The sequence below is a fragment of the Homo sapiens genome, chromosome 11 (genome assembly GCF_000001405.40).
Source record: "Homo sapiens chromosome 11, GRCh38.p14 Primary Assembly".
Lineage (NCBI taxonomy): Eukaryota > Metazoa > Chordata > Mammalia > Primates > Hominidae > Homo > Homo sapiens.
The window spans coordinates 67,287,209-67,314,596 of NC_000011.10; the positions used below are offsets into that span (position 1 = coordinate 67,287,209).

General features: G+C 56.7%; 2 protein-coding genes across 8 annotated transcripts, besides 8 other annotated features; both read left to right on the forward strand.

Annotated features, from left to right (window-relative positions):
* Nucleotides 1-250: an enhancer, noted in NCBI's record as "active region_5083". NCBI's record gives its function as "activates an Ori minimal core promoter by ATAC-STARR-seq in GM12878 lymphoblastoid cells {active_cell/tissue: GM12878}" and the evidence as "EXISTENCE:reporter gene assay evidence [ECO:0000049][PMID:35858748]".
* Nucleotides 1,001-1,210: an enhancer, noted in NCBI's record as "active region_5084". NCBI's record gives its function as "activates an Ori minimal core promoter by ATAC-STARR-seq in GM12878 lymphoblastoid cells {active_cell/tissue: GM12878}" and the evidence as "EXISTENCE:reporter gene assay evidence [ECO:0000049][PMID:35858748]".
* Nucleotides 1,431-1,500: a silencer, noted in NCBI's record as "silent region_3621". NCBI's record gives its function as "represses an Ori minimal core promoter by ATAC-STARR-seq in GM12878 lymphoblastoid cells {active_cell/tissue: GM12878}" and the evidence as "EXISTENCE:reporter gene assay evidence [ECO:0000049][PMID:35858748]".
* Nucleotides 1,681-2,450: a silencer, noted in NCBI's record as "silent region_3622". NCBI's record gives its function as "represses an Ori minimal core promoter by ATAC-STARR-seq in GM12878 lymphoblastoid cells {active_cell/tissue: GM12878}" and the evidence as "EXISTENCE:reporter gene assay evidence [ECO:0000049][PMID:35858748]".
* On the forward strand, nt 2,095-15,276 carry ANKRD13D (ankyrin repeat domain 13D). 6 transcript variants are annotated; one of them, NM_001347901.2, is made up of 16 exons: nt 2,095-2,342; nt 2,621-2,757; nt 2,870-3,005; nt 3,114-3,238; nt 4,268-4,313; nt 4,395-4,538; nt 4,783-4,972; nt 11,850-11,916; nt 12,322-12,403; nt 12,619-12,680; nt 12,785-12,915; nt 13,782-13,939; nt 14,074-14,190; nt 14,280-14,443; nt 14,524-14,615; nt 14,911-15,276. In NM_001347901.2, exons 4-16 carry the CDS (start codon nt 3,149-3,151, stop codon nt 15,122-15,124), a joined length of 1,557 nt encoding a protein of 518 aa, NP_001334830.1. In that variant the 5' UTR covers nt 2,095-2,342; nt 2,621-2,757; nt 2,870-3,005; nt 3,114-3,148; the 3' UTR covers nt 15,125-15,276. The 6 variants fall into 6 exon arrangements, 5 of the variants coding, with proteins under 5 accessions (NP_001334830.1, XP_047282829.1, NP_997237.2 ...); XM_047426873.1 differs by having other exon boundaries at nt 2,621-3,005; NM_207354.3 differs by lacking the exon at nt 2,621-2,757.
* Nucleotides 2,445-3,369: an enhancer, noted in NCBI's record as "H3K4me1 hESC enhancer chr11:67057124-67058048 (GRCh37/hg19 assembly coordinates)". NCBI's record gives its function as "activates a minimal SCP1, AML or CMV promoter by ChIP-STARR-seq in primed H9 embryonic stem cells {active_cell/tissue: H9 hESC(primed)}" and the evidence as "EXISTENCE:reporter gene assay evidence [ECO:0000049][PMID:30033119]".
* Nucleotides 3,370-4,292: an enhancer, noted in NCBI's record as "H3K4me1 hESC enhancer chr11:67058049-67058971 (GRCh37/hg19 assembly coordinates)". NCBI's record gives its function as "activates a minimal SCP1, AML or CMV promoter by ChIP-STARR-seq in primed H9 embryonic stem cells {active_cell/tissue: H9 hESC(primed)}" and the evidence as "EXISTENCE:reporter gene assay evidence [ECO:0000049][PMID:30033119]".
* Nucleotides 15,472-15,989: an enhancer, noted in NCBI's record as "H3K27ac-H3K4me1 hESC enhancer chr11:67070151-67070668 (GRCh37/hg19 assembly coordinates)". NCBI's record gives its function as "activates a minimal SCP1, AML or CMV promoter by ChIP-STARR-seq in primed H9 embryonic stem cells {active_cell/tissue: H9 hESC(primed)}" and the evidence as "EXISTENCE:reporter gene assay evidence [ECO:0000049][PMID:30033119]".
* Nucleotides 15,990-16,509: an enhancer, noted in NCBI's record as "H3K27ac-H3K4me1 hESC enhancer chr11:67070669-67071188 (GRCh37/hg19 assembly coordinates)". NCBI's record gives its function as "activates a minimal SCP1, AML or CMV promoter by ChIP-STARR-seq in primed H9 embryonic stem cells {active_cell/tissue: H9 hESC(primed)}" and the evidence as "EXISTENCE:reporter gene assay evidence [ECO:0000049][PMID:30033119]".
* Nucleotides 16,322-25,384, forward strand: SSH3 (slingshot protein phosphatase 3). 2 transcript variants are annotated; one of them, NM_017857.4, is made up of 14 exons: nt 16,322-16,483; nt 16,910-16,947; nt 17,565-17,799; nt 19,630-19,754; nt 19,834-19,905; nt 20,163-20,228; nt 20,341-20,529; nt 20,638-20,731; nt 20,966-21,094; nt 21,204-21,250; nt 22,189-22,335; nt 22,560-22,760; nt 22,858-23,131; nt 24,383-25,384. In NM_017857.4, the coding sequence occupies exons 1-14, from the start codon at nt 16,418-16,420 to the stop codon at nt 24,677-24,679; spliced, it is 1,980 nt and encodes a 659-aa protein (NP_060327.3). In that variant the 5' UTR covers nt 16,322-16,417; the 3' UTR covers nt 24,680-25,384. The 2 variants fall into 2 exon arrangements, with proteins under 2 accessions (NP_060327.3, XP_047283133.1); XM_047427177.1 differs by lacking the exon at nt 24,383-25,384 and having other exon boundaries at nt 22,956-23,131.
* The last annotated feature ends 2,004 nt before the right edge of the window (nt 25,385-27,388 follow it).

A 27,388-nucleotide genomic window follows, 5' to 3' on the forward strand; every position in this document is an offset into this window, starting at 1 on the left:
TTGCTGGGCATGGCTGGGGCCCATGGCCAAAGCACAGCATGCCAGGCAGAGAAGGGAGGCAGGCAGCTGGGCAGGGTACTCAGGGCTGAATACAAGAGTCAGGGGCAATGGCCTTTGAGCCAGGCCTCCAGCATTGGTGTGGGAAGGAGGGAGGACATTTCTGAGGCAGGGAAGAGCCAGGGACTCATGAGTGGCCCAGGCTGGCCGGAGGACTATAGGAAGGAGCCATGCCTGGAGGCACTGAATGCCAGGCTTAACCTATCCCGGAGCCAGGTGTGTGCTCAGGGCCTGCAGAATGAAGATACAAACGACATGGAGTCCAGACCTGCCATGCTCAGGGAGCCCTTGAAGGTGCGGAACAGGGCTGAGAGTGGTGAGAGCTGGCTCTAAAGTGATTGCCTGGTTACTGAGTACAGGATGTGGGGAGGGAGGTGAAGGACAGGAGGCAGGGAGACAAACCTCCGCAGTGGGAGAGGAAGAGATGAAAAGAGGCCAGACGGGAAGAACGTGGTCCAGCAGAAACAGGCTGGACTTGGGGCTGAGTGAGGCGGGAGTCTGGGGAAGAGGGTAGGTGTGGTTGGGTTGGCTTCGGACATACTGATGGGATAGCATGGGATCCCTGGGCACAGAGATGTCCTGGAGTAAGCTGAAATGTGGACCTGGGGGTGGCATCAGGGTGACAATGGGAACGGACAGTCTCTCTCCCAGGGATGTGGGGGTCAGGGAGAGAGAGGAGGCCGTGGAAGAGGGTTGAGAAGGCACTGTCATGGAATTAAGTGCCAGTGGGGAGCTGTGTTCAAGATGGCAGAAATCAGGAGAGGCTGGAACCAAGAAAGTCCTGTCGGGGTTGAGTTTGGAGAGGGCTCAGGGAAGGGACCGCCTCTGAGAAAAGGGGTGGCCAGGGAGGGCTGCAGTAGTGGTGAGCAGGTGAGCTCTGGGCATTCAGAAGCCTTCGGGCTGCTACCAACCCCAGGACCTCACAGATTGACACCATAGCGTGGGGTGGCAAAGTGACCCCAGATGGCACAGGCGCCATGTGACTACAGGGAGAAGGCAGGGTAAAAATGGCAATCAGGCCTTCCAGCCCAGAGTCTCAGAACTGAGGACGCCCTACAGCAGGAAGTGATGCTCAAGCTAGCTGGCCCTCCTCAATCATGTTCCACGTAGGGAAAGGGAGAATAGAGGGTCAGCCTTGGCCACCTAGCAAAACCAGGGCCCCAGACCCCAGGCTGGGCCTCCAGTAATCAAGGGCCGGAACTGAGCTGACGGAGGCCTGCACCCTAGTTCCGGTGTGGGTGGAGGGGCCGGCCCTGATTTCGAAACTCGCCTTCCTCTCCTGACGCTGGCAGCCAACCGCAGCCTCTGCAAAAGGGACTCGTGCGGCGGGCGAAGGCAGCCGTTCGCCGCGGGCGGTCCTCCGCCGGGACGGCTCTGCCGCTGCCTGGGCCTGCGCCCCTCTCTCCCCGAACTCCTATCCCTGACTTCAGGGCCCCGGGGGCCGCCTCCCCGCATCGCTGGGCCTGCAGACACCGGCCAGGTCCCAGGGGAAGGTGCTTCCCGCTCAGCCGGCAAGCACTTAGTGGCGTCTGCTCGTTGCTCGTCTCCAGGCCGGGTGAGGGGAGCCGGGGCGCCCCACTTCACCCGCACACCCCAGCAGAGTCGGTGACCGCGGGACCTGGGGTAGGAAGACCGGGGCGAGCAAGGGGATCCGCGGGGGAAACGCAGGCATCACGGCTGCAGCAGGACCGCGGCCCGCCGCGCACGCGCGTGCACTACCGAGGGGCCCAGTGCCCGCCCCCTCCGGCCCCGCCTTCCTCTTCCGGACCCGGCTCCGGGGGTCTGCGCAGGGCTCGGGGCGCCTCCTGCGGGCCGCGGGCGGAGCTGTAACCGGGCACCGCCCTCCAGGCCGCCCCAGCGGACCCGGGCCCGACCGAGGTCGGGGCGCAGACCCAAGGCCGGGCATCTCCTCGGGCGCTCGCGGTTGCTCTGCCGCGCGCTGGCCTGGCCGCGGTTGCCATGGTTGCGGGGGGACGGGGGCGCGCGCGAAGCCCCGCCCCGGCCCGGCGCAGCCCCGCCCGCTCCGCCGCCCGCCCCGCCCTCCCTGCCGCCCGCGCTGCCGCCGCCGCCGCCGCCGCCGCTACTGCTGCGGGGGCCGCGGGGGGCGCAGCTGGGGCGCGGCTCGGAGGGGAGGCTAGGGGGCCGTGCCAGGCCCGAAGCCGAGGCGGGGCCGGGATGCGGCGCTGAGGCCCAGCATGGCCGGCCCGGGCCCCACCTTCCCGCTGCACCGGCTCGTCTGGGCGAACCGGCATCGCGAACTGGAGGCCGCACTGCACAGCCACCAGGTGAGGCCCCGCTGGGGCACCCGGCCCTTCCCCCGGGTCCCCCACCCAAGGCTGTGGCCTCCGTCCTGGAGCCCCCCCCCCCCCCCCGCCCGCTCAGCTCCGCAGCCACATCCTGGGCCTTCCTCCCCTGCACGATCCCAAGCCCAGGTCACCGGCCCCTCGCGCCTGAGCCTCTGGCCTCCTCTCCCCTGCGCTGGGCCTTGCCCTGCTCGCCCGAACTCGCTTCCGCATCCTTGCTGACCCAAGCTGAGAACAAGAACTCTGGTCCTGGTCCCCAGGTTCCGCCAAACTCCTGACAACCTGCAGCTCTGCCTGACCAGGCCCCGCCGCCAGACCCCGGCTCTGCCCCTGCCTTCCCTCCTGCCCCCTCCTCTCCCCTGCCAGGACACGCAGGCCACCCTCTGCCATCTCCCTGGTCAGTCCGCCGTCCTTATTTCCCACAGCGATTCCCAACCCTGCTCGCCCTGGCAGCCTCCCTGCCTTGCCCTCTTCTCTCCTGCCCTTTGTGAGTGTCCCGTCTCCCCCAGCACGACATTGAACAGGAGGACCCCCGCGGGCGGACCCCACTGGAGCTGGCCGTGTCTCTGGGAAACCTGGAGTCTGTGAGAGTGCTCCTTCGACACAATGCCAACGTGGGCAAAGAGAACCGCCAGGGCTGGGCAGGTACTGCAGAGGACAAGGGGCTCCCCCTGAGGCTGGCAGGCGGGGGGCAGTGAGCAGCCAGGCCTGGGGTCATCTGGAGGGCTCCCCTCAGCAGCCTGGTGCCCGCAGTCCTGCAGGAGGCAGTCAGCACTGGAGACCCCGAGATGGTGCAGCTGGTGCTCCAGTATCGGGACTACCAGAGGGCCACGCAGAGGCTGGCGGGCATTCCGGAACTGCTCAACAAACTTCGCCAGGTACAGCAGGGCACAGTTATGGAGGTGGGGTACCATGGCAGGGCACCACCCTGGTTACTGTGCCAGGCCTGGCCTTGGAAAGGCACCCAGTTTGTGCAGTGTGCCTCCTGCCACCAGCAAGGAGGTCTGTCTATCTTGACCCCAGCCCAGGGTCACGTAGGAAAGAGAGACGGCCAGGCTCACGTGGGAGAGACTGGACCCTTTGGAAGAGAAGCCTTGCCAGCTTTGGGCCTCCTGAAGAATGCAGATTACCTGGAGCAGGGACTTCAGGTTGACTCGGTGGATTATGGCCTGAAACCCTGGAATACTTGCTACTACGCACCCTTCTGGAAGCACACGGAGGGGCCTGGCTGGCAGAGCATACTATCTCATACCCCCTACCCCAGGAGCAGGCTCGGAGGGAGCCACTGTGCCCCCTTTACAGAGTAGGACTCTGAGACCCAGTGGAAACAAAGGCTCCCCCAGGGCTCTGCACAGGCTCATGGCCAGGTTGAGGCTGGCCCTCCACCTCCAGGTGCTTACAGCCTCATTGTCTGAAGACCACTGTAGTGCCCCACTTGGCCCACCCTCTCCAGGGCAGAGTGGTTGGGCGTAGCTGAGCCATAGCAGTGCGTCAAGACTTGATGAAGGGCCAGGCGTTGTGGCTTACTCCTGTAATCCCAGCGCTTTCTGAGGCCAAAGTGGGCGGATCACTTGAGCCCAGGAGGTGGAGACCAGCCTGGGCAACATGGTGAAAGCCGTCTCTACAAAAAGTACAAAAATTAGCTGGGAGTGGTGGCACACACCTGTGGTCCCAGCTACTCGGGAGGCTGAGGTGGAAGAATCACCTGAGCCCAGGGAGGCAGAGGTTGCAGTGAGCCGAGATTGCACCACTACACTCCAGCCTGGGTGACAGAGCAAGTCTCAAAAAAAAAAAAAAAAAAAAAAAAGACCTGATGAAGGGCTGGGCTGGCTGTGGACAAGGGGCTCCCAGGCCTGCTGGAGCCAGCAGCAGGCAGGGCGCTGACAAGCAGCTCTGGTTTCTCTTAGGCCCCCGATTTCTACGTTGAGATGAAGTGGGAGTTCACCAGCTGGGGTGAGTGGGGACCTCTGGGCTCCCAGGGATTTGGGGTGGGGCCTTTGGAAAGACCCCCAGTGACCCCTGTGCACCCTGCAGTGCCCCTTGTGTCTAAGATGTGCCCAAGCGATGTGTACCGCGTGTGGAAGCGGGGTGAGAGCCTGCGAGTAGACACCAGTCTCCTGGGCTTCGAGCACATGACCTGGCAGCGGGGCCGGAGGAGCTTCATCTTCAAGGGCCAGGGTGAGCTCTGGACAAACTCATTGCAGCTCCTCGGCCCTTGGGTTTCCTGCGGCTTGGGAGGACGGTGCTGCCTTTTCTCTCCACTTTCCAGATGTGGAAGCTGAGGTTGGGGATGGAGGGGCATCCAGGGGCCAAGACTGACCCACTTGGCAGCAGGTGGCTGAGGGTACATGATCGCCCTCTCTGCACTGCTGGCGCCCAGCACTGATTTGCGCCCCCTCTGTCCACCCCTACCGGCCGGCAGAGGCAGGAGCCCTGGTGATGGAAGTGGACCATGACCGGCAGGTGGTGCATGTGGAGACACTGGGGCTCACTCTGCAGGAGCCCGAAACACTGCTGGCCGCCATGCGGCCCAGCGAGGAGCATGTGGCCAGTCGCCTCACCTCTCCTATCGTCTCCACCCACCTGGACACTCGTAATGTGGCCTTTGAGAGGTCGGTCGGGTCCTGGCACACCGTGGGTGGGATGGGGACGGATAGCAAGAGCCACCATTAATGAGGGCAGGGCGATCCTTGAAGATCCTGGTTCAGGCCTCTGGGCTCACTCACAAGGGGCTGCTCAGGGGCAGGTGGGTTGCTGCAGCCCGTGTCTCACTCAGACTGCCGGGGTGGTTGGGCTCCTGTGGCCACCTTTGTGGGGAGGGGTCAGGTCAAGATGTCCCCAGTTTCTTGACTTCTGACCTCATATGTTTTCCCATTAAGACAAAGATTTAGGCTGTGGTTCACGGCAGCTCTTTGCACCAATGTTGGCTTGTCATTGGTGCGGCTGTGTTGGGGGCAGAATCCTTTGTGGGTAGCCTAGGAACCTGACCCTTCCAGCAAGAGTTTCTCTGACAACACATGCCCCCTCTTGCCTTAACAGTCAGTGGAAACACTTAAAAAAAAAAACAAAAAACCTTTATTGAGATATAATCTCATATACCATATAAGATCACCCATTTAAAGCATACAGTTCAATGACTTTTAGTATATTTATTCAGAGATTTGTACATCACCACAGTCAATTTTAGAACATTTTTATCACCTCAGGAAGAAACCCCCCACCCTTTAGCTAACTCTTCGCCAAACTTCTTATCCCCTCTCCCAGTCCTAAGCAACCACTAATCTACTTTCTGTGTCTGTAGAATTCCCTGCTCTGAGTTCTCATATGAATGGAATTTTATAATATGTTGCCTTTTGTGTCTGGCTTCTTTCACTTAGTATAATATATTCAAGGTTCATCCAAGTTGTAGCACGTAACTATTTCTTTCCTTTTTGTGGCCATTGTATGAATATACCATATCTTGTTTATTCATTAACCCATCGATAGACATTTGGGTTATTTGCATTATTTGGCTTATGAATAATGCCACTCTAAGTATTCATGTGCAAGTTTTTGTGTAGACGTATGTTTTAATTTCTCTTTCATATGTTTTCATTTCTCTTGGGTATATACCTAAGAGTGGAATTGCTAGGTTACTGATAACTCATTGTTTAATTGACTGTTTACCAAACGAGCTGTACTGGTTTACATTCCCACCAGCAGCATGTGAGGGTTCCAGTTTCTCCACATCCTCATCAACACGTCATTATTCACTCATTTGTTTTTGGAATCTAGCCAGCCTAGTGGGTGAGAAGTGATAGCTCACTGTGATTTTGATTTGCCTTTCTTTGATGACTAATGATGTTGAGCATCTTTTCATGTGCTTATTGGTCAATTGTATATCTTCTTTGCAGAAATGTCTATTCAGATCCTTTACTCATTTTTTATTTAACTTAATTAACTTATTTATTTTGAGATGGGGTCTGGCCTTTCACCCAGGATGGAGTGCAGTGACATGATCATGGCTCATTGCACCCTCCACCTCCCAGGCTCAAGTGATCTAAGTAGCTGGGACTACAGGTGCATGCTGCCATGCCCAGCTAATTTTTAAATTATTTGTAATTATTTTATTATATCATTTAATTGTTTTGTTTAGTTATTTGTAGAGATAGAGTCTACAGACTGGTCTTAAACTCTTAGGCTGAAGCGACCTGCCTACCTGGGCCTCCCACAGTGCTGGGATTACAGGCATGAGCCACCACACCTATCCCTTCACCCATTTAAAAAATTGGGTCATCTTTTGATTATTGAGTCATAGGAGTTTTATAATTTTAGCTGTTACACTTAGGTCTTTGAGCCATTTTAAGTTAATTTTTGTGTATAGTGGAAGGTTCTTTTGCATGTGACTATCCAGTTGTCCTAGCCCCCTTTGTTGAAAAGACTATGTTTTTCCCACTGAATGGTCTTGTCACCCTTGTCGAAAATCAGTTGACCATAGATAAATTGGTTACTTTCTGACTCCCACATTAGTTCCATTGGTCTACATGTCTGTCTTTATGCCAATATTATACTGTCTTAATCACTGTTGCTTTGCAATAAGTTTTGAAATTGGAAAGTGTGAGTCTTCCTACTTTGTTTTTCTTTTTCAGGGTTATTTCAGTATTTTGGGACCCTCGCATTTTATATGAATTCTATTTTCTTTTTTCTCACAACCCAGTGTAGGCAGAATATATGAATTCTAGATTCAGCTTGTCAATTTCTACAGTCAGGTGGGATTCTGATAGGAATTGCACTGAATCTATAAAGCAGTTTGGGGAATAGTACCATGTTAACAATGTTAAGTCTTCTAATCCGTGAACATGGGATGTTTTTCCATTTATTTGGATCTTCTTTAATTTATTTCAACATTATTTTATAGTTTTCAGAGTGTAAGCTTTGCACTTTTGTTACATTTATTCCTAAGTGTTTTATTCTGTTTTTTGTTTTGTTTTGTTTTTTTGTTTTTTTTTTTGAGATGGAGTCTCACTCTATTGCCCAGGCTGGAGTGCAGTGGCACAATCTAGGCTCACTGCAACCTCCACCTCCTGGGTTCAAGCAGTTCTCCTGCCTCAGCCTCCCAAGTAGCTGGGATTACAGGTGCCCACCACCACTCCTTGCTAATTTTTGCATTTTTAGAGAGACAGGATTTCACCATGTCGGACCAGGCTGGTCTCCAACTCCTGACCTTGCTGGGATTACAGGTGTGAGCCACCGTGCCTGGCCACTAAGGGTTTTATTCTTTTTGATACAATTATGAATCAAATGTTTTTCTTAATTTTATTTTTTGATTGTGTATTGCAAATGTATAAAATTACAATTGATTTCTGTATGTTGACCATGTATCCTGCAACATTGCTAAACTCATTCATTCAAGTAGATTTTTAGTGGATTCCTTTCCTCAGTATTTTTTTTAACATATAAGATTATGTTATCTGTAAATAGATTTAGTTGTATTTCTTCCTTTCCAATTTAGGTGCCTTTTGTTTCTTTTTCTTGCTTAATTGCTCTGACTAGAACTTCCAGTAGAATATTGATTAAAGGTTGTTAGAGGCTGGATGCGGTGGCTCACGCCTGTAATCCCAGCACTTTGGGAGGCCGAGGTGGGTGGATCACGAGGTCAGGAGATCGAGACCATCCTGGCTAACATGGTGAAACCCCATCTGTACTAAAAATACAAACAATTAGCCAGGCTTGGTGGCGGGCGCCTGTAATCCCAGCTACTCAGGAGGCTGAGGCAGGAGAATGGTGTGAACCCGGGAGGCAGAGCTTGCAGTGAGCCAAAATCACGCCACTTCACTCCAGCCTGGGCGACAGACCAAGACTCCATCTCAAAAAAAAAGGGGGGTGGTTAGAGCAGGCTGGGCATAGTGGTTCACGCCTGTAATCCCAGAACTTTGGGAGGCTGAGGCAGCCAGATCACTTGAGGTCAGGAGTTTGAGACTAAGCTGGCCAACATGGTGAAACATCATCTCTACTAAAAATACAAAAACAAAAAAAAAATTAGCCAGGCATGGTGGTGGGCACCTGTAGTCCCAGCTGCTTGGGAGACTGAGGCACAAGAATTGCTTGAACACAGGAGGCAGAGGTTGCAGTGAGTCCAGATTGTGCCACTGCACTCCAGCCTGGGTGACAGAGCAAGACTCCATCTAAAACAGTAAATAAATAAATAAAAAAGAAAAGAAAAGTGGTTAGAGCAGACATCCTTGTATTCTTGTCTTGTTCTTCATCTTAGGGGAAAAACATTCAGTCTTACCATTAAGTATGATATTAGTTGTGAGTTTTTGGTAGATACCCTTCATCAGGTTAAGGTAATTCCTTTCCATTCCTCATTGTTAGAGTGTTTTTATCATGAAAGGATGTTGGATTTTGTGAAATGCTTTTTCTGTGTTTATTGATATGATCATGTGATTTTTTAAAAAATTCTATTGATACATCAATTGACCTATGGATATTGAACCAACCTTGCATTCCTGTGATAAGTTCCACTTGGTTGTGGTGTATAATTCTTTTCATATGTTGCTAGATTTGGTTGGTTCGTATTTTGTTGAGGATTTTGTGTCCATATTCATAAGTGATATTGGTCTGTAGTTTTCTTGTGATATATGTCTGGTTTTGGTATCTGGGTGATGCCTCATAACTGAAGTGGAAAATGTCACCTCTTTGTCTATTTTTTTTAATAGTTTGCAAATAATTGGTATTAATTTGTCTTCAAAAGATTGGTAGGATTCAGTGGTGAAGCCATTTGGGCCTGAGTGTGTGTGTGTGTGTGTGTGTGTGTGTATGTGTGTATAGTTTTTTGTTGTTATATTTACCAATCAGTCTCTTGACTTGTTATCCATCTATTCAGATTATCTATTTATTCTCAAATTAGTTTTGGTAGTTTGTGTCTCACTAGGAATTTGTCCATTTCATCTAAATTATAAAATTTGTTGGTGTACAGCTATCATTGTATCCTTTTATAATGCTTTTTATTTCTGTTGCTCCCCTCTTTCATTTCTGATTCTGGTGAGTAATTTGAAGTTTTTGTTTTGTTTTGTTTTGTTTTGTTTTGTTTTGTTTTTGAGACAGAGTCTTACTCTGTCACCCAGGCTGAAGTGCAGTGGCATGATAAGAGCTCACTGCAGCCTTGAACTCCTGGGCTTAGGTGATTCTTCAACCTCCCAAGTAGCTGGGACTGCAGGCATGCACCACCAAGCCCAGCTAATTTTCTTTTTTTGTAGAGATGTGGTCTCACTATGTCATCCAGGCTGCTTTTGAACTCCTGGCCTCAAACAATCCTCCTGCCTTGGCCTCCCAAAGCACTGACATTACAGGTGTGAACCACCGCCCCCAGCCAAGTCTTCTCTCTCTTTTTTTGCCCACCGTGGTCAACCTAGCTAAAGGTTTGTCAATTTTGTTGATGTTTTCGAAGAGCCAGTTTTTGGTTTCATTAATTTTCTCTATTATTTTTCTATTCTCTATTTCATTAACCTTTACTGTAATATTTATTATTTCTTTCTGTTCTTTCTGGTTTAGTTTGCTCTTTTTCCATTGTCTTAACATGGAAGGTTAGGTTAAGGTTATTGATTTGAGATCTTCTTTCTTAATATAGGCATTCACACATATTACATTTATACTTCTAGGCATGTCTTTTCTTTTTTTGACATGGGGTCTCACTCCATCGCCCAGGCTGGAGTGCAGTGGTGTGATAGCTCACTGCAACCTCCGCCTCCCAGGCTCAAGTGATCCTCCCACCTCAGCCTCCTGAGTAGCTGGGAACACAGGCGCCAGCTAATTTTTTCTGTTTTTAGTAGAGATGGGGTTTCACCATGTTGCACAGGCTGGTCTCGAACTCCTGTGCTCAAGCAATCTGCCTGTCTCAGCCTCCCAAAGTGCTGGGATTACAGGCGTGAGCCACCGGGCCTGGCCTGGCCTTTACCTGTGTCTCATAAGTTTTTTGGTTTTTTTTTTTTTTTCTGAGAGGGAGTCTTGCTCTGTCGCCCAGGCTGGAGTGCAGTGGCACGATCTCGGCTTACTGCAAGCTCCGCCTCCCGGGTTCACGCCATTCTCCTGGCTCAGCCTCCCGAGTAGCTGGGACTATAGGCGCCTGCCACCACGCCCGGCTAATTTTTTGTATTTTTAGTGGAGATGGGGTTTCACTGTGTTAGCCAGGATGGTCTCCATCTCCTGACCTTGTGATCTGCCTGCCTCGGCCTCCCAAAGTGCTGGGATTACAGGCGTGAGCCACCGTGCCCGGCCATAAGTTTTGATATGTTGTGTCTTTATTCCTGTTTATCTCAGAGTATTTTCTGATTTCTCTTTTGATTTATTATTTGAGACGTTGGCTATTTAGGAGTGTGTTGTTTACTTTCTACATATTTGTGAATTTCCAAAGTTTTTTTTTTCTGCTATTGACTTCTAATTTCATTCCATTGTGGTTGGAAAACATACATTGTATGACTTCTATCCTTTCAATTTTATTGAGGTTTTCTTTTTTTTTTTTTTTTTTTTTTTTTGAGACGGAGTCTCGCTCTGTCGCCCAGGCTGGAGTGCAGTGGTACTGTCTGCTCACTGCGAGCTCTGCCTCCGATGTTCACGCCATTCTCCTGCCTCAGCCTCCCAAGTAGGTGGGACTACAGGCGTCCACCACCGTGCCCGGCTAATTTTTTGTATTTTTTAGTAGAGACGGGGTTTCATCATGTTTGCCAGGATGGTCTCGATCTCCTGACCTCATGATCCACCCCCCTTGGCTTCCCAAACTGCTGGGATTACAGGCATGAGCCACCGCGCCCGGACTTATTGAGGTTTTCTTAATGGCCTAGTGTATGGCCTTGAAGAGTGTTCCGTGTGCGCGTGAGAAGCGTGTGTGTGGTTGTTATTGGGTAGAGTGTTCTAGCCTGCTTATGAAGTCCAGCTGTAGTGTTGTTCTTATCTTCTGGTTCTTTGTTGATCTTCTAGTTGTTCTATCCCTTATTGAAAGTGGGGTACTGGAGTCTCCAACTGACATACTTTTCTTTTAGCTTTTTATTTTGGAAAATTTCAAACATATATGAAAGAAGAGATAATGTACTTACTCATCACCCAGCTTCAACATTTATCAACATCTTGCCAATCTTACTGAATCTATCCTTCCTTACCTTTTTTAAAAATGTTTCCTAGAGTGTGTCAAAGCTCATCCCAGATGTCCTAATGTTTCTAGTAAATGCTTCTGCACAATTCTAAAAGACAAGGATGTTTTTAAACCCAGCCCCGACACTATCATACCTCACAAGATTCATGCTAATTCCTCAGTGTCTTCTAGTCCCAAGTCCATGCTCAAGTGTCCCCCCCTGTCCAGGCACCCTCTTCAGGGGTCCTCCATGTTTCATAGCGAGAAGGGGCCCTGAGAGTTGGGCACCCCGGGCAGGCTGGCTGGAGGGGGCTTTGGAAAGGAAGGCTTTGGCCAGCGTGTGAGGGTGCAGGTCTCACCAGCTCCTGTTTGGTCTGTTTCAGGAACAAATGTGGTATCTGGGGCTGGCGGTCTGAGAAGATGGAAACTGTTAGCGGCTACGAGGCCAAGGCAGGAGAGGCTAGGGGTGGGGGGCTGGGGGTAGGAGATGAGGTCCAGGAACTCAGCTCCTCTCCACATCCATCCCAGAGTAGCCCCTGGGCTCTGGAAACCCTGAGCATTTGTGGGAACTCAGCGGGCCTGAGTGCCCAGCCCCTGCGGAGTACACAGGGCTCACCCACATCATGGGCCCCTACCCAGGGTACCGAGATCAAAAGAGGAGTGTGTTCCTCTTGACCCTGGGGCTGCATCTCCTCGTTGGTGACTTCCTGGGGTTCAGACCCTGCCACCTCCTCCATTTTGGGGAGCAAGATCTCATCTGTCTCTGGGACAGGAGGACCTGGGTTCTGCACTGGTGAGGCTGAGTGTGGGGAGCAGGCTCTGAGCCCCCAGCTCCCCGTGTCCCCTGCTCCCCAGGTGTACAGTGCCACCAACGTGGAGCTGGTGACACGCACACGCACGGAGCACCTCTCTGATCAGGACAAGTCGAGGAGCAAAGGTAAACCCAGGTGCGCCTGCCTGCTGCCCGGTCACACCGTGTGGTGGGGTCACCCTGGCCTGGGATTAGGGGCCAGAGTTTCCCAGGATGAGCTGGGAGGCCTCCCCATTCCCGTCTGACCCCTCTTCCCCCAGACAGTAGGCTCCAGGGGTGGAGGTGGGCAGGGGCGATGCGAGCATTGTGACCCCTTACCAGCTCCCACCCCTTCTCCGTAGCGGGGAAGACTCCATTCCAGTCCTTCCTGGGGATGGCGCAGCAGCATTCCTCCCACACCGGGGTGAGCCGGGGCTGGGCCGAGACAGGGCTGGCGGGGGGCCGAGCCTGGGCGGGAGGGCACCCTCTGTCACCTTGATGGCTGAGTCCGCCCTGGGACCCACGCAGGCCCCCGTGCAGCAGGCAGCCAGCCCCACCAACCCCACAGCCATCTCCCCTGAGGAGTACTTCGACCCCAACTTCAGCCTGGAGTCACGGAACATTGGCCGCCCCATCGAGATGTCCAGCAAAGTACAGAGGTGAGGTCTGAGAGCTGGCTGGGGACTTGCCTCGGGACAAGGGCTCTTGCAGACCCCTCTCTGGGCCTGTCATAGTTAGGGACCCACTCCCTCGGCTGGCTTCTCTCTGGACTCCACTCCTGGAGGGCAGGAGTCATGTCTGCCTTATCCATGGTCCTCAGCCCTTAGCAAGGGGCTTGGCACAGAAAACCGGTAGTTTGTCTTTGATGAATGGATGGTGCCACCCATGTATGGTTTTCTATTGAATTTCATGAGTACCTGCTGGGGCCAGCGTGGCACAGTGGGAAGGGCCCCCAGCGACGTGGCCTGGGAGTGGAGCGTCTGCCTTGGTGGAACAGAACAGTTACGCTCTTGCCTCGTGAGGAGCCTTGAGCAGGTATAGGCGGTAACAGCAGGCACAGTGCCTGCACAAGCCTAGCGCTCTCCCCACCATCTCAGGAGGATTCTCTTAGCCACCCAACAGTCGCTGGGATTCGAACCCTGGCAGTCTTGCCCTGGGGTGTGCTGGACATAAAAGTTTGGCAACACGTGAGCTGGTGACCAGCTCTGGGCTGAGGAGGAAAACGGGGCTGTGGGCCAGGCCCAGAGAGAAGCCCACAGCCTGGCACCTGGCCTCCTTGTCCAGACCAGATGAGCTGGTACGAAATCCTCAGGAGCCCCAGCCTGGGCCCAGGGAGGAGGGCAGCTTGGGCCACGTGGCCAGGACACCAGCTCCCGGGGGAGGCGGGCAGCGGCATCTGAGCAGAGCAGGGCACTCCAGGCCAGGCAGAAGGTGGGTAAAGGCAGCTGCCCACGAACCAGAGGGCAGTCCTCAATGGAAGGGCCACCAGCCGTGCCTCACCCATGTCCTGTGGTCGGCTGGGCAGGTTCAAGGCAACACTGTGGCTGAGTGAAGAGCACCCGCTCTCCCTGGGTGACCAGGTGACCCCCATCATCGACCTAATGGCCATCAGCAACGCTCACTTTGCCAAGCTGCGCGACTTCATCACTCTGCGCCTTCCACCTGGCTTCCCCGTCAAAATTGGTGAGAGGCTGGGCACAGGCAGCGGGAGGACCTCAGGCATGGCACCCTCCCTCAGCGCAGTCCCTGGAGAGCTGCAGGGGCCGGAGGCACAGGTGGCTCTCCGCCAGGGCTCAGGCGTGGCTGTCTTCTCACAGAGATTCCCCTTTTCCACGTGCTCAATGCCCGCATCACCTTCAGCAACCTGTGTGGCTGTGATGAGCCCCTGAGCTCCGTGTGGGTGCCGGCCCCCAGCTCTGCTGTTGCCGCATCAGGTACCCCAACGGGAGGAAGAGGGAGCCTGCACAGCTTTCTGGTCACCAAGCCCCGCGGGTTGAGCGTGGCCCCTCTGCCACCTGCCTAGGGAACCCTTTCCCGTGCGAGGTGGACCCCACCGTGTTTGAAGTGCCCAACGGGTACAGCGTGCTGGGCATGGAGCGCAACGAGCCCCTCCGGGACGAGGACGATGACCTCCTGCAGTTCGCCATCCAGCAGAGCCTGCTTGAAGCGGGCACTGAGGCGGAGCAGGTGGGACTTGCCCAGGGGGTGGGCTCTGGCCTCTGCAGCCACACGGCAGAAGTGACAGCTGTGGGCTCTGGTGGCTGCAGGTGACCGTCTGGGAAGCCCTGACCAACACCCGGCCCGGTGCCCGCCCTCCTCCCCAGGCCACGGTTTATGAGGAACAGCTTCAGCTGGAGCGGTGAGCCCCTCATGGGGCTGGCTGGGTCCCTGTCCCCCCAGCCCTGGCTTGGCGGGGAGGGGGATAGCAGGAAGGTGCTAGGACCCCAGGCCCTCTGCAAGGCCACCCTCTGTCAGCAGCGCTATCTGCCACCAAAGGTGGTGTGAGGGGTGGGGAAGCAGGGCCCTGCCTTGTCTCCTCTGCTTGCCACCCTGTCTTTGCCTTTGTCCTCCAAAGCCGGTCCCCAGCCCCTCGGCTTCTGCCCCAGCCTTGGCGCTCACTGGCCTGTTCTTCCCTCCCCTGCCCTGCCTGGAAGGGCCCTCCAGGAAAGCCTGCAGCTGTCCACAGAGCCCAGGGGCCCAGGATCCCCTCCCAGGACACCCCCAGCCCCCGGTCCACCCAGCTTTGAAGAGCAGCTGCGCCTGGCCCTGGAGTTGTCTTCACGGGAGCAGGAGGAGCGGGAGCGGCGCGGGCAGCAGGAGGAGGAGGACTTACAGCGGATCCTGCAGCTGTCACTCACTGAGCACTGAGCCATAGCCCCGGGAGGGCTGGCCAGGCCACTCCCTGCCCGCTTTTGTAATTTATTTATTTATAAACTCTCTGCTGCTGAGCTTGGGGCCTGGAGCCCCAGGAATGAGCAGGCAGGGGAGACTGAGATGGAAATAAAGAGACTGTCGCAGCAGGGCTGCTCTGCTCACTGGGCTGGAGCGGTGGGGACCCTGAAGGTGGGGCGCTGTGGAGAGGCACTGTGGATGGCGGCCTCAGACCTGGGCTTGAATCCTGGTCATGGTCCCCTTAGCCTATCTGAGCCTCAGTTTCTTCAGTTGTAAAATGAGGAGACCACCCCCCACCCTCCGCCCCTCAGGGCTGAAAGGAGCTGGCGAGAGTCACGTGTCCTTACCAAGCAGGCGTCCTGTGAAAGTCAGATCCCCTGTGCCCTGTCCCACCTGCTGGGGACCCGGTTCGTCCTGCCACCCAGCCTAGTCTTCTGGAAACCGGCCCACGTGCCTGCTGGGGAGGAAAAGCCTGGGTCCCCAGGCACCATTCACCTCCAGCTGGGAAGAGCCCCGACGCCGACCCCTGCAGCCAAGCCCAGGCCCTGGCCCTGACTGCGGCTTGTTCTCTGCGGGTGGGTTTGCGCAAGTCACTTCCGCCTGCGTAGCTGGAAGCCCTGCCCTGCTCGCCTCCGAGGTGGACCTGAGAGCCCCTCATGGGCTTCCTGGGTTATTTGTAAACCCCAGGCCGTTTTCCCCGGAAGCCTGTCTTCCAGTGGTTCCTGCGGAGTGGGAACGAGAAGGCCGACCAGCAGGGAGAAATGTTTGGGGTGGGGGCCCTTGGCCGAGGGCGCGCCGTGCCTGATCCTCTCTAGACCTGTCCCCCACCTCCCCACCTCAGCTCTGCCTCCCTAGGACCCGCCTCTGCAGGGCACAGGACGCTGGAGGCCCAGAACAGCTCAGGTGCTCCCGCTGGGCCGGCCCGGGCCGGGCGCTTCCTGGGAGGGGGACCAAACTCCCGGCCTTCAGCTCTTGCCCTCCGGGTCTCCGGGCTCCGCACCTGCGCCCGCCCCCGGCCTCGCCCCTGACCTGTGCCCAGGGGCTGGGCGGGCCGAACAGCGGAGACCGGAGGGGCGGGGCCCGGCCGCCCTGAGAAGCTCCGCGGGCCCGGCTGGGCGAGTGTCTGGCCCTTTAAGGGCCGCCCCCGAGGAGGTGCCAGGCCCGGGTGGCGCCGTCCGTCCTTCCTGGTCCTGCGGGTCCAGGACTGTCCGCGGGGTTGAGGGAAGGGGCCGTGCCCGGTGCCAGCCCAGGTGCTCGCGGCCTGGCTCCATGGCCCTGGTCACAGTGAGCCGTTCGCCCCCGGGCAGCGGCGCCTCCACGCCCGTGGGGCCCTGGGTGAGTGTGGTCCGGCCGTGGTGCCGCCCACGCAGTTGCTGCCCCGGCTTGGGAGCGCGTCCTGCCCGCCAGCGGGCTCCTCTCGAACGGGGACATGAGGAGGGGGCCCCGGGGCTCGGGCTGGAGGGCGCTGGGGGCCTCGAGGGTCTCTGGTACTGGCGCCGGGGCACAATCCAGAGCCCTGCGCGCCGCCCGGGCTGCGGAGGCCCCGATCTGAGCGCGCCCCCCGCCACACTCGGCGCCCACCCAGCCGACCTGGCCTTGGGCCGGGGCTCCACGGGGCCTCCCGGTGGGGCGTGGACTGGGGTGGGAAGACGATTGGCATCTGGCGCCTTTTCTGGCCTCCCCCAACTCTAGAATTCCTGAGAGAGGGGAGGGGACAGCCCTCCCCGCCCTCACCCTGCCCTGGGGCTGCTCTCTCCGCAGGACCAGGCGGTCCAGCGAAGGAGTCGACTCCAGCGAAGGTGAGCGCCACCTCCCCCACGCAGACACTTCCGTCTGCCCCGGGCCTGGCCACGGCCGTCCTGGGCTCCAGCTGCAGGGACAGAAAGCTCCCCGGAGGACGCGCAGCGAAGCCCACTGCCAAATTTGTGGGGCAGCGTTCCCGGTGGGGCCGGCTGGTGGGCTCGCGGTAGGGCGGCCTTTGCCTTCACCCTCCCCCTGGTCAGCTGGGGCTTCCTCATCCACTGCCCTGGGCTTTGGCTCAGGTGGTGGCCACGGGCCGAACGGCAGGAGGGCATGATGGGCCTGAGGACTCCTGGGTCCCCGACCATGTTCCCAGCAGCACTTGAGTTAAACAGGTGGGAGGGGAAAAGGAGCAGCCCCCTCTCCCCACAGATGAGCTAGAGTAGAGGGGCTGAGAGCTTGGAAGCCCCCAAGACTGGTTCTCAGCAATATTGCCAAGGGGCCGAGGGGTTAGAAATGCAGATGCTCAGGCCTCCACTCTAGACCTATCGACCGCGTGGGGGCCCATGAATCCGTGTAGACAAGGGCTGCAGGTGAATGTGATGCATGCTAGACTTTGAGAGCCCCTACCCTAAGGGGAATGAGGAGCCATGACAGTTGCCCACTGCCCTGCCAGGCAGAGCTTTGCGGTGCTCCGTGGGGCTGTCCTGGGACTGCAGGATGGAGGGGACAATGATGATGCAGCAGAGGCCAGTTCTGAGCCAACAGAGAAGGCCCCGAGTGAGGAGGAGCTCCACGGGGACCAGACAGACTTCGGGCAAGGATCCCAGAGTCCCCAGAAGCAGGAGGAGCAGAGGCAGCACCTGCACCTCATGGTACAGCTGCTGAGGCCGCAGGATGACATCCGCCTGGTGAGGGCCCATGTGGAGCTCCGGGGGGTGGGGGGAAGAGACACGCCTGAGGGCAGAATGGAGCCCTGTGTATGTGTCTGCTTGGGGAGCAATGGTGTGAGGGCAGGGGGCAGCCTGGGGAGTGTTGGGGTTACCCATATCCCAGTGACCCTGCTGTTTCAGGCAGAGATGTTTTGTTTTTTGTTTGTTTTTTTTTTGAGATGGAGTCTCGCTCTGTTGCCCAGGCTGGAGTGCAGTGGCGTGATCTCGGCTCACTGCAAGTTCCACCTCCCGGGTTCACACCATTCTCCTGCCTCAGCCTCCCGAGGAGCTGGGACTACAGGCACCCGCCACTATGCCTGGCTAATTTTTTTTGTATTTTTAGTAGAGATGCGGTTTCACCGTGTTAGCCAGGGTGGTCTCAATCTCCTGACCTCGTGATCCGCCTGCCTCGGCCTCCCTAAGTGCTGGGATTACAGGCGTGAGCCACCGCGCCCGGCCTGGGCAGAGATATTTTGACAGGGCGAGGTCATGGCTGCAGGTCTCTGGAAGGGAAAGAACAGGGGAGGTTTGTCCTGTGTGAGCCAATAGGGCCAAATTAGGTCCAAGGGGTGGGAATTCCAGAGGCATGTTTCTCCTCAACCAGTAGAAGACTTTCCTGATGATGTGAGCTGTCCCTAAATGGACCAGTGCACAAGGCAGGCTTGCTGGACACACACTGGGGGAGGGTGTGCTAGAGGGACCCAGGCAGAGGGGAGGAGGACTCCAGCCCCACGGAGGAAGGGAGTCCAGGTGGAGCTGGAGCGCTCATGCTCAAATACTTGTGGAGACAGCTCGCCGTCCTCAGCAAGACGTGGCAAACAAGATGCAGTGAATCTTTGGTAAAACTGAATTTACAACAGAAGTATCATCCCCTATCGTGAGATTTTGTCCTTAATATTTCTTTGGTGATAAACATTTCTCAAATGAAATGATAGCATTTGCAAGTGACAGGGTAAAAAAAAAACAACAAAAAAAAACTGGCCGGGCGCGGTGGCTCATGCCTGTAATCCCAGCACTTTGGGAGGCCGAGGCGGGCAGATCACGAGGTCAGGAGATCGAGACCATCCTGGCTAACACGGTGAAACCCCGTGTCTACTAAAAACACAAAAAATTAGCCAGGCGTGGTGGCGGGTGCCTGTAGTCCCAGCTACTCGGGAGGCTGAGGCAGGAGAATGGCGTGAACCCGGGAGATGGAGTTTGTAGTGAGCTGAGATTGCGCCACTGCACTCCAGCCTGGGTGACAGAGCAAGACTCCATTGCAAAAAAAAAAAAAGAAAAAACCTCCTTCTTGCTGGGCACAGTGGCTCACGCCTGTAATCCCAGCACTTTGGGAGGCTGAGAAGGGAGGATTGCCTGAGTCCAGGAGTTCAAGACCAGCCCAAGAAACATAGGGAAGATCTCATCTCAACAAAAAACTTAAAAATTATCTGGGCATGGTGGCATGGGCCTGATGTCCCAGCAACTTGGGAGGCTAAGGTGGGAGGATCATGTGAGCCTCGGAGTTCGGGGCTACAGTGAGCTGTGATGGTGCCACTGTACTCCAGCCTGGGCGACAGAGTGAGACCCTATCTCAAAACAAAAACAAAAACAACCTCCTTCCTCAGCAGAAACAAAAAATGTGCAACCTATGTCAGTCCCATTCCCCGCTTTTTTCCACACAGTCCCTCTTTACCCACTGATTTTACATCTGGGAAGAGGGGGGATGGGAGAGGAAGGAGCAGGGTCAGCACTGTTCTGGGCCTGGGGTGTCTAGGTGGGGAGCAGGGTCCTTGGGGCCACTGTGACCCTGGGTTCCTCATCTCCCCCCAGGCAGCCCAGCTGGAGGCACCCCGGCCTCCCCGGCTCCGCTACCTGCTGGTAGTTTCTACACGAGAAGGAGAAGGTCTGAGCCAGGATGAGACGGTCCTCCTGGGCGTGGATTTCCCTGACAGCAGGTTCGAGCAGGGAGAGGAAAGGAGGGGCAAAGAGGTGAGGGACAGGGGGGACAATGGCTTTCCCTCTGTCCCCTGCCAGCTCCCCCAGCTGCACCCTGGGCCTGGTCTTGCCCCTCTGGAGTGACACCCAGGTGTACTTAGATGGAGACGGGTAAGCAATGGCAACTGGAGGTGGGGGCTGGAGGGTGGAATAACTGAGTGTGACGGATGTGACGGGGCCTGGGCACCAGGGTACAGTAGAACTTTAGGCTGGGACTCTGGGGCCTGCTCCCAGCTCCACGTCAGATTCACCGTGATCCTGAGCAAGGCACCTGACTCCTGGGTCTCGGCTTCCCGTATCCAGCAAAAGGATGGGTTCTCTGTCGCAGAGCCTGGAGTCTGGCCTCACCTGTGCCTGGTCTCCTGCAGGGGCTTCAGCGTGACGTCTGGTGGGCAAAGCCGGATCTTCAAGCCCATCTCCATCCAGACCATGTGGTAAGGACAGAGACTGCCTGGACTCAGGCCAGCCTCTCCTTCGAAGGAGGCTGCAGGGCCTGGGGAAGGGCAGCAAGGGAACAGTGTGACCCAGCCTCTCCTCCTGTCTCAGGGCCACACTCCAGGTATTGCACCAAGCATGTGAGGCAGCTCTAGGCAGCGGCCTTGTACCGGGTGGCAGTGCCCTCACCTGGGCCAGCCACTACCAGGAGAGACTGAACTCCGAACAGAGCTGCCTCAATGAGTGGACGGCTATGGCCGACCTGGAGTCTCTGCGGCCTCCCAGCGCCGAGCCTGGCGGGTCAGTGTGTGGAGGGGAGGGACTGGGTGGAGGGGAAGGCAGGATAATGCAGTGGGGGGCATGGTGGAGAGGGGAAAGGGCCCCTTGACTGAGGGGCTCTGCTCCCAGGTCCTCAGAACAGGAGCAGATGGAGCAGGCGATCCGTGCTGAGCTGTGGAAAGTGTTGGATGTCAGTGACCTGGAGAGTGTCACTTCCAAAGAGGTGGGCAGGGGGCCCGGGGACTGAGTCCCCTCTAGCAGGGGCTGCAAGCTTGCCTTTCCTGGGAGCCCTCCCCACCTTGCCTGTCTCCAGTCCTGAGCCATTCCTGGATGCCTTGGCCTTGGCCCTAATCCATCTAGATGGGATAGGGTGCTGTCCTCAGAGGTCCCAGAGGGAAGGTGGCAGGTTGGGCACTAGGAGAGCCCCAGCCTCTCTTGCCCTGGGCTCTGCCTGCAGATCCGCCAGGCTCTGGAGCTGCGCCTGGGGCTCCCCCTCCAGCAGTACCGTGACTTCATCGACAACCAGATGCTGCTGCTGGTGGCACAGCGGGACCGAGCCTCCCGCATCTTCCCCCACCTCTACCTGGTGAGCTTCAGCCAGGCCTGGGCCATGGGGACCGCTGGCAGCTGTGAGGGCGGCAGGCCAGGAGCAGAGGCTGGAGGAGAGGAGAAATGTGCTGTTCCCTCTCTCCCAGGGCTCAGAGTGGAACGCAGCAAACCTGGAGGAGCTGCAGAGGAACAGGTAGGGCTATGAGCCCCTCGGGCCACCCACCCCATCTTCCCTTCTCCTGGCCTCCCCGCATTGGGTGGTAGCCAGCTTCAAAAACCCCTGGACCACCCTCAGCAGCTGCTAGCTCTGCTTCTAACTCTGTCCTGGGGCTGTTGCCCTGGTGTGGGCTCCCAGGTGGGGACAGGAGACCTGCTGGCCAGCCCCCGCCCACTCTCCTCCCCCATCCACACTGTGAAACAAGGACAGAAACAAAGGGCCTCAGCCACGCCAAGACGAGAAGCAGCAGCGCATACTGCTGTAACTGCCTTGGACAAGCAGAAAAAGGCTCCTCTTGAATGCGCCTGTGGGCCCAGCTACTTGGGAGGCTGAGGCAGGAGGATCGCTTGAGCCCTGGAGATTGAGGCCGCAGTGAGCCGTGATCACGCCACTGCACTCCAGCCTGGGCAACAGAGAGAGACCCTGTCTCTAAAAAATAAGAAAAAAGAAAGAGAGAAAAAGCCTTTTCTCCACCTTGCCCTGTCTCAGGGAAGAAGGAACTGCCCTTCTCCCCGTGGGGACCTGGCTGCCTGCTCTGACAGGTACCTGTCATCTGCCCACCATGGGCTTCTGGGACCTGCTGTAGCCCCTGCCACCCACTGCTGCAGACCCACCCACTCTCAGCTTAGCTCAAAAGCTGTTCTCTAACTCATTTCTGAGAATAACTGAAGGGCTGGAGTTGCAGTTGGCCCAGCTGTCTGGACCAGATGGGGAAACAAGCCCAGCAGGGCAAGATGATTGGTCTAAGGTCGCAGCCAGGTGACAGCTGGGTCACTTCTCCTCCCACTGTCACTGCTGCCTCCATCTGACTTGAAACTCAGAGCTAAAGCGAGGCCCAGGGGCTGCCAGGTCCGATTGCCAGTGGGCCTGGTACCTCTGCCCACATCAGCCTGGCCTTGGGCCCTCTGGGACAGGGTCACCCACATCTTGAACATGGCCCGGGAGATTGACAACTTCTACCCTGAGCGCTTCACCTACCACAATGTGCGCCTCTGGGATGAGGAGTCGGCCCAGCTGCTGCCGCACTGGAAGGAGACGCACCGCTTCATTGAGGCTGCAAGGTCGGTCTCCTGGCTTTGCTGCCTGCCCCACTGTGGCTTCAAGCGGCCTCCGGTGCCCTCCTCCTGCCCACTCTGCCATCAGCTGTGCCATTCCTTCCAGCCCTCAGTGTCCTTCCCTCCTTCTCTACTCTCAGTTGGTTGTGAGCCCTTCACCTGCCCTCCCCTGCAGGAGGCGGGATCCTTCATGGTGAGGGGAGGGTGCTGAACCTGGCCTGCTTCCACAGAGCACAGGGCACCCACGTGCTGGTCCACTGCAAGATGGGCGTCAGCCGCTCAGCGGCCACAGTGCTGGCCTATGCCATGAAGCAGTACGAATGCAGCCTGGAGCAGGCCCTGCGCCACGTGCAGGAGCTCCGGCCCATCGCCCGCCCCAACCCTGGCTTCCTGCGCCAGCTGCAGATCTACCAGGGCATCCTGACGGCCAGGTATGGGATGGGAGCGAGTGGCAGGGGGTGAGTAGGTGGGTTTGCTGGGGGTGGCTGCTGGGTCACTCAGAGCTGACTCAGGGCCACCTCCTCACAGCCGCCAGAGCCATGTCTGGGAGCAGAAAGTGGGTGGGGTCTCCCCAGAGGAGCACCCAGCCCCTGAAGTCTCTACACCATTCCCACCTCTTCCGCCAGAACCTGAGGGTGGTGGGGAGGAGAAGGTTGTAGGCATGGAAGAGAGCCAGGCAGCCCCGAAAGAAGAGCCTGGGCCACGGCCACGTATAAACCTCCGAGGGGTCATGAGGTCCATCAGTCTTCTGGAGCCCTCCTTGGAGCTGGAGAGCACCTCAGAGACCAGTGACATGCCAGAGGTGAGGCTGGGGCTGGGGGAGCTCAGCTTGCAGGGGTGGGGGCCATAAGGAGGGAGATGGGGAAAGACCAGGATGGGCGTTTGACTGTAGACCTGAGCAGGGCGTACCCGGGCTAAGTCTGGCCCGCCCATGCAGGGTGTCCTGGGAGGACCCAGGGGGCCTGGTCCCAGCCTCCTTCACAGTCAGCCCAGTATCTCTTAGCACCCGGCGTCTCCAGCCTGTCCCATGAATACCCCTGAAGATGGGGACCAGCCACGTCCTGGGCCCCTGAGAGCAGCTGAGATCCAGTGAGGGCAGGCGGAGGCACTGTAGGCACAGGCTGGAGAGGGGTCACGGGGGCAGGGCAGGAAGCAGTGCCTGTTTCCAAGGCTCCTGGGTGAGCCAGCCCCAGCCTCGATCGCGGGCAGGTTCCAGCCTGACCACAGGACTAGCTGTCTCAGGGGCAGGGCTGCCTCCCCAGGCCATGAGCTCCACAGGCCCCTGCAGGCCCTGGGGGCGATCTCTAACCCCATGGTGGGGAGGCTAAATTAATCTCTGAAGCCCCTCCCTGGTCTGAGGAGCAGCACCTCAAAGGATGGGGTGGGGAGGAGTCTGCGCACTCACGCCGCCCAAGTCCTGCCTAAGTCAGCACCCTTGATGCTCAGTGCTGCGGGCACAAGCCTAAGCCTGGGAGCCAGGCCCTGTCTGGGACTCAAGGCCAAATGGCTGACTTGGAGGAAGGAGCATCCACTGAGGGCAGGAACATTTGGGAGAGGCTTCCTGGAGGAGGTGTGGGTGGGGAAGGATAGGGAGGCGTGGTGGGTTGATGGGCGGGTGTGGGCGTTGCTAAAGGCAAGAGGTCCTCACCCAGCACCGGACGCACGCATCCACCCAGCCCAGCTCAGGGGCTGGTGCCGGCACGGGTTTCACCTGCCGGCTGCCTACGCAAAGGCAGAGAAAGCATAGGAGGGGAGGAGGGCAGGGAGGCCTGGGTCTCCAGGGAGCTGAGGAGGGCTTCTGGGGGCCAGAAGGAAGCTACAAGCAGGTAGGGTTCAAGGAGCGGGGCAGCAGGGCTGGGGTGTTGTCCTCCCTCCCGAGGAAGCGTGGCTGTGGACAGCTTGGCTTTTGGCGTGCGTGCCACAAACATTCCGGCCCTCGCCTCCTCCTGGCTCTGTGCTTGGCACCCCTGCCCCAGATCTTCCCGGCTCTGTGCTTGGGCACCCCTGCCCCAGAAAGGCCTCCCATGGCTTCCGTATCCTCACACCTGTCCAGGTCTTCTCTTCCCACGAGTCTTCACATGAAGAGCCTCTGCAGCCCTTCCCACAGCTTGCAAGGACCAAGGGAGGCCAGCAGGTGGACAGGGGGCCTCAGCCTGCCCTGAAGTCCCGCCAGTCAGTGGTTACCCTCCAGGGCAGTGCCGTGGTGGCCAACCGGACCCAGGCCTTCCAGGAGCAGGAGCAGGGGCAGGGGCAGGGGCAGGGAGAGCCCTGCATTTCCTCTACGCCCAGGTTCCGGAAGGTGGTGAGACAGGCCAGCGTGCATGACAGTGGAGAGGAGGGCGAGGCCTGAGCCCTCACACATGCCCACGCTCCCCTGACACTGAAGAGGATCCACAACTCCTTGGAGAAACACCCTCACGTCTGTTGCCGCACACATTCCTCTCAGCTCCGCCCCATACCCGTCACTACAGCCTCACCTCCCACCCCTGTCACTACGGCCTCACCTCCCACCCCTGTCACTACAGCCTCACCTCCTACAGCCTTAAGTCCCAGGCCCATGTCTGCCTGTCCAAGGGCTCAAGACTTTCTAACTGGGATGTGGTAGAGGGACTGAAGGTACCTTTGGGGGCAACAGCACCCTAGTTTCATTCTCAACTCTAGCCCTGCACACTCACCTGTGGCACGGAATGAAAACAGAGCTTCCCGTGCAAAAAGGGTCACGCCTCCCACCCCCGCCCCCTCCCTGCACCTCCTGTCCTCTCCCAGTTCATTCCTGGAACCAGCCAGGCCAGGCAACCAGTGGCCCCCAAAGGCAGGCAGGATCCTCAGGCCCCAGCCGCGGGAGGCTGGAAGGGCTGGCAGATCGCTTCCCTCATCCACCTCCACCGGTCCAGGTCTTTGCTGCTGTCCCCAGACCTCCTGTGACACCACGCCAGATCACAGGGCACCAGGCCAGAGATAGTCTTCTTTTTGTCCTTTCTGGCCTCTGGCTAGTCAGTTTTTCATAGCCTTACAGTATCTGGCTTTGTACTGAGAAATAAAACACATTTTCATATTTGGTTATTTTCAATGTGACGATGAAGCCATCTGTGTTGCAGTCAGACCCTTCTCTGCTGGCTGGGGAAGGTGGCCGCCCCTTCCTCCCAGCAGTCTCCTCACAATTCCAAGGTGGCTCGTGACAGACCTATTTGGGGGAGTGCCGTGTTTGGGCGTGGCGTGGGAGGAAGATTGGGTAAGAGAAGAGAGGAAGTCAGTGCTATCTCCCCATCTCCTGGGGCAGGGCCTGGTAAATATGACCTGCTCACACCCACCCGCTCAGACAGGTCGGGCAAGGGAAGAAGTCGTCAGCGGGCAGCAGGCATGTGGCTCCACTGTGAGAGCTGGAAGGGGTTACTCATGAGGAAGTGCCTACCTGGACAGGACCAAGCCTGTTCCAAAAGCGAAGCCTCCTTGGGACACTCGGCGCCAGGTTCTCTGGCATGTTTTGGGTCCCAAGAATCACCTTCCTCCTGCTACAAAGCAAAGGGCCTGACTTTCCAAGCCAGGCTATTGCGGCCTGGGAAGAAGGACCCTTGGTGACACTTCCCCTCCTGCCCAGGGGTTCCTTCTGCTCAACTTTAGTGTCCAAGAAGAGTTAGTCATTCCATCTTTTTTTTTCTTTTTTTGAGACAGAGTCTGGTTCTGTTGCCCAGGCTGGAGTGCAGCGGCACGATCATGCCTCAGTGCAGCCTTGAATTCCCAGGCTGAAGAGACCCTCTCACTTCAGCCTCCTGAGTAGCTGGGACCACAGGCACACCTAGCTAAGTGGTTGTATCTTTGTCACTTCCTTTTTTTTTTTGAGACAGGGTCTTGCTCTGTCACCCAGAATAGAGTGCAGTGATATGATCTTGGCTTTCTACAGCCTCAACCTCCCGGGCTCAAGGGATCCTCCTGCCTCAGCCCCTGAGTAGTTGGGACTACCTACATGTGCCATCATGCCTAGCTAATTTTTATCTTTTATTTTTTGTGGAGACGGGGTTTTACCATGTTGCCCAGGCTGGTCTCGAACTCCTGGGCTCAAGCGATCTGCATATCTCGACCTCTCAAAGTGTTGGGATTACAGGCGTGAGCCACTGCGCCTGGCCCATCTTTGTCACTTCTATCCCTCTTCCCAAGATTATGTATGCTCTCTGCTCTATGATACATTACCCTGGTTTGGGGAAGGGGCCGGATTCAACTCCTTCCCTCAAAGCAGTCCTTAGAGATGGGAGCTGGCACCAAGCATTCTCAGTGACTGAGACTTCACGCCCAGTTTTAAGAATGAATCTCTCACCCAGGCCCTGGTGGGACTCCTAGCACTGCTCTAACCCTGAAGTGCGCAGTGGCAGGAGACTTGGATTTAGCCCCAGCTTCACCACTTATGAATTACTTTGCTTTGAGTCTCTGTTTCTTTCTGTAAAATAAAGGGATTAGACCTGGAAATCCCCAAGTACCCCTCTTCACTTTGATGCATTTTATATTATTTATTATTTATTTATTATTGAGTACAGTGGGGTGATCTCAGCTCACTGCAACCTCTGCCTCCCAGGCTCAAGACATCCTGCCTCAGCCTCCTGAGTAGCTGGGACTACAGGGCCACCACGCCTGGCTACACTTTGATACATTTTAACAATACATGCTATCTAGACATTGCTAGATTAGCCTCTACCTCCCTTCCAGAAGAGGAATCCTTGGCACCTATCTGGGTGGTATGCCTAAGGGTCACAAGATGTGGGGTACATGCAAGCTAGTTCTGATTCTTGATCCATCCTGCTGAGCAAACACTGGGGGCTACCCCCCACTCTGTGGCCAACTAGGAGTCCTACCCAGGCTGCCCTTTCAGTATTCCTGGCCTAGGGCTGCAGATGGGTGGGGTGGTGGTGAGAGTGTCGGGGTAAGCCAAGGCCAGGCCCTGCCCCTCCTGCAGCCTGTGCATCTCAGAAGGCAGGTCCAATCAGGAACTCAGAGCTGTGGGGCTCACTAGAATCCACTAGAATCCAGGAGGATTCTAAGAAGTAAGAAGTCAGCAAACAGGGAAATG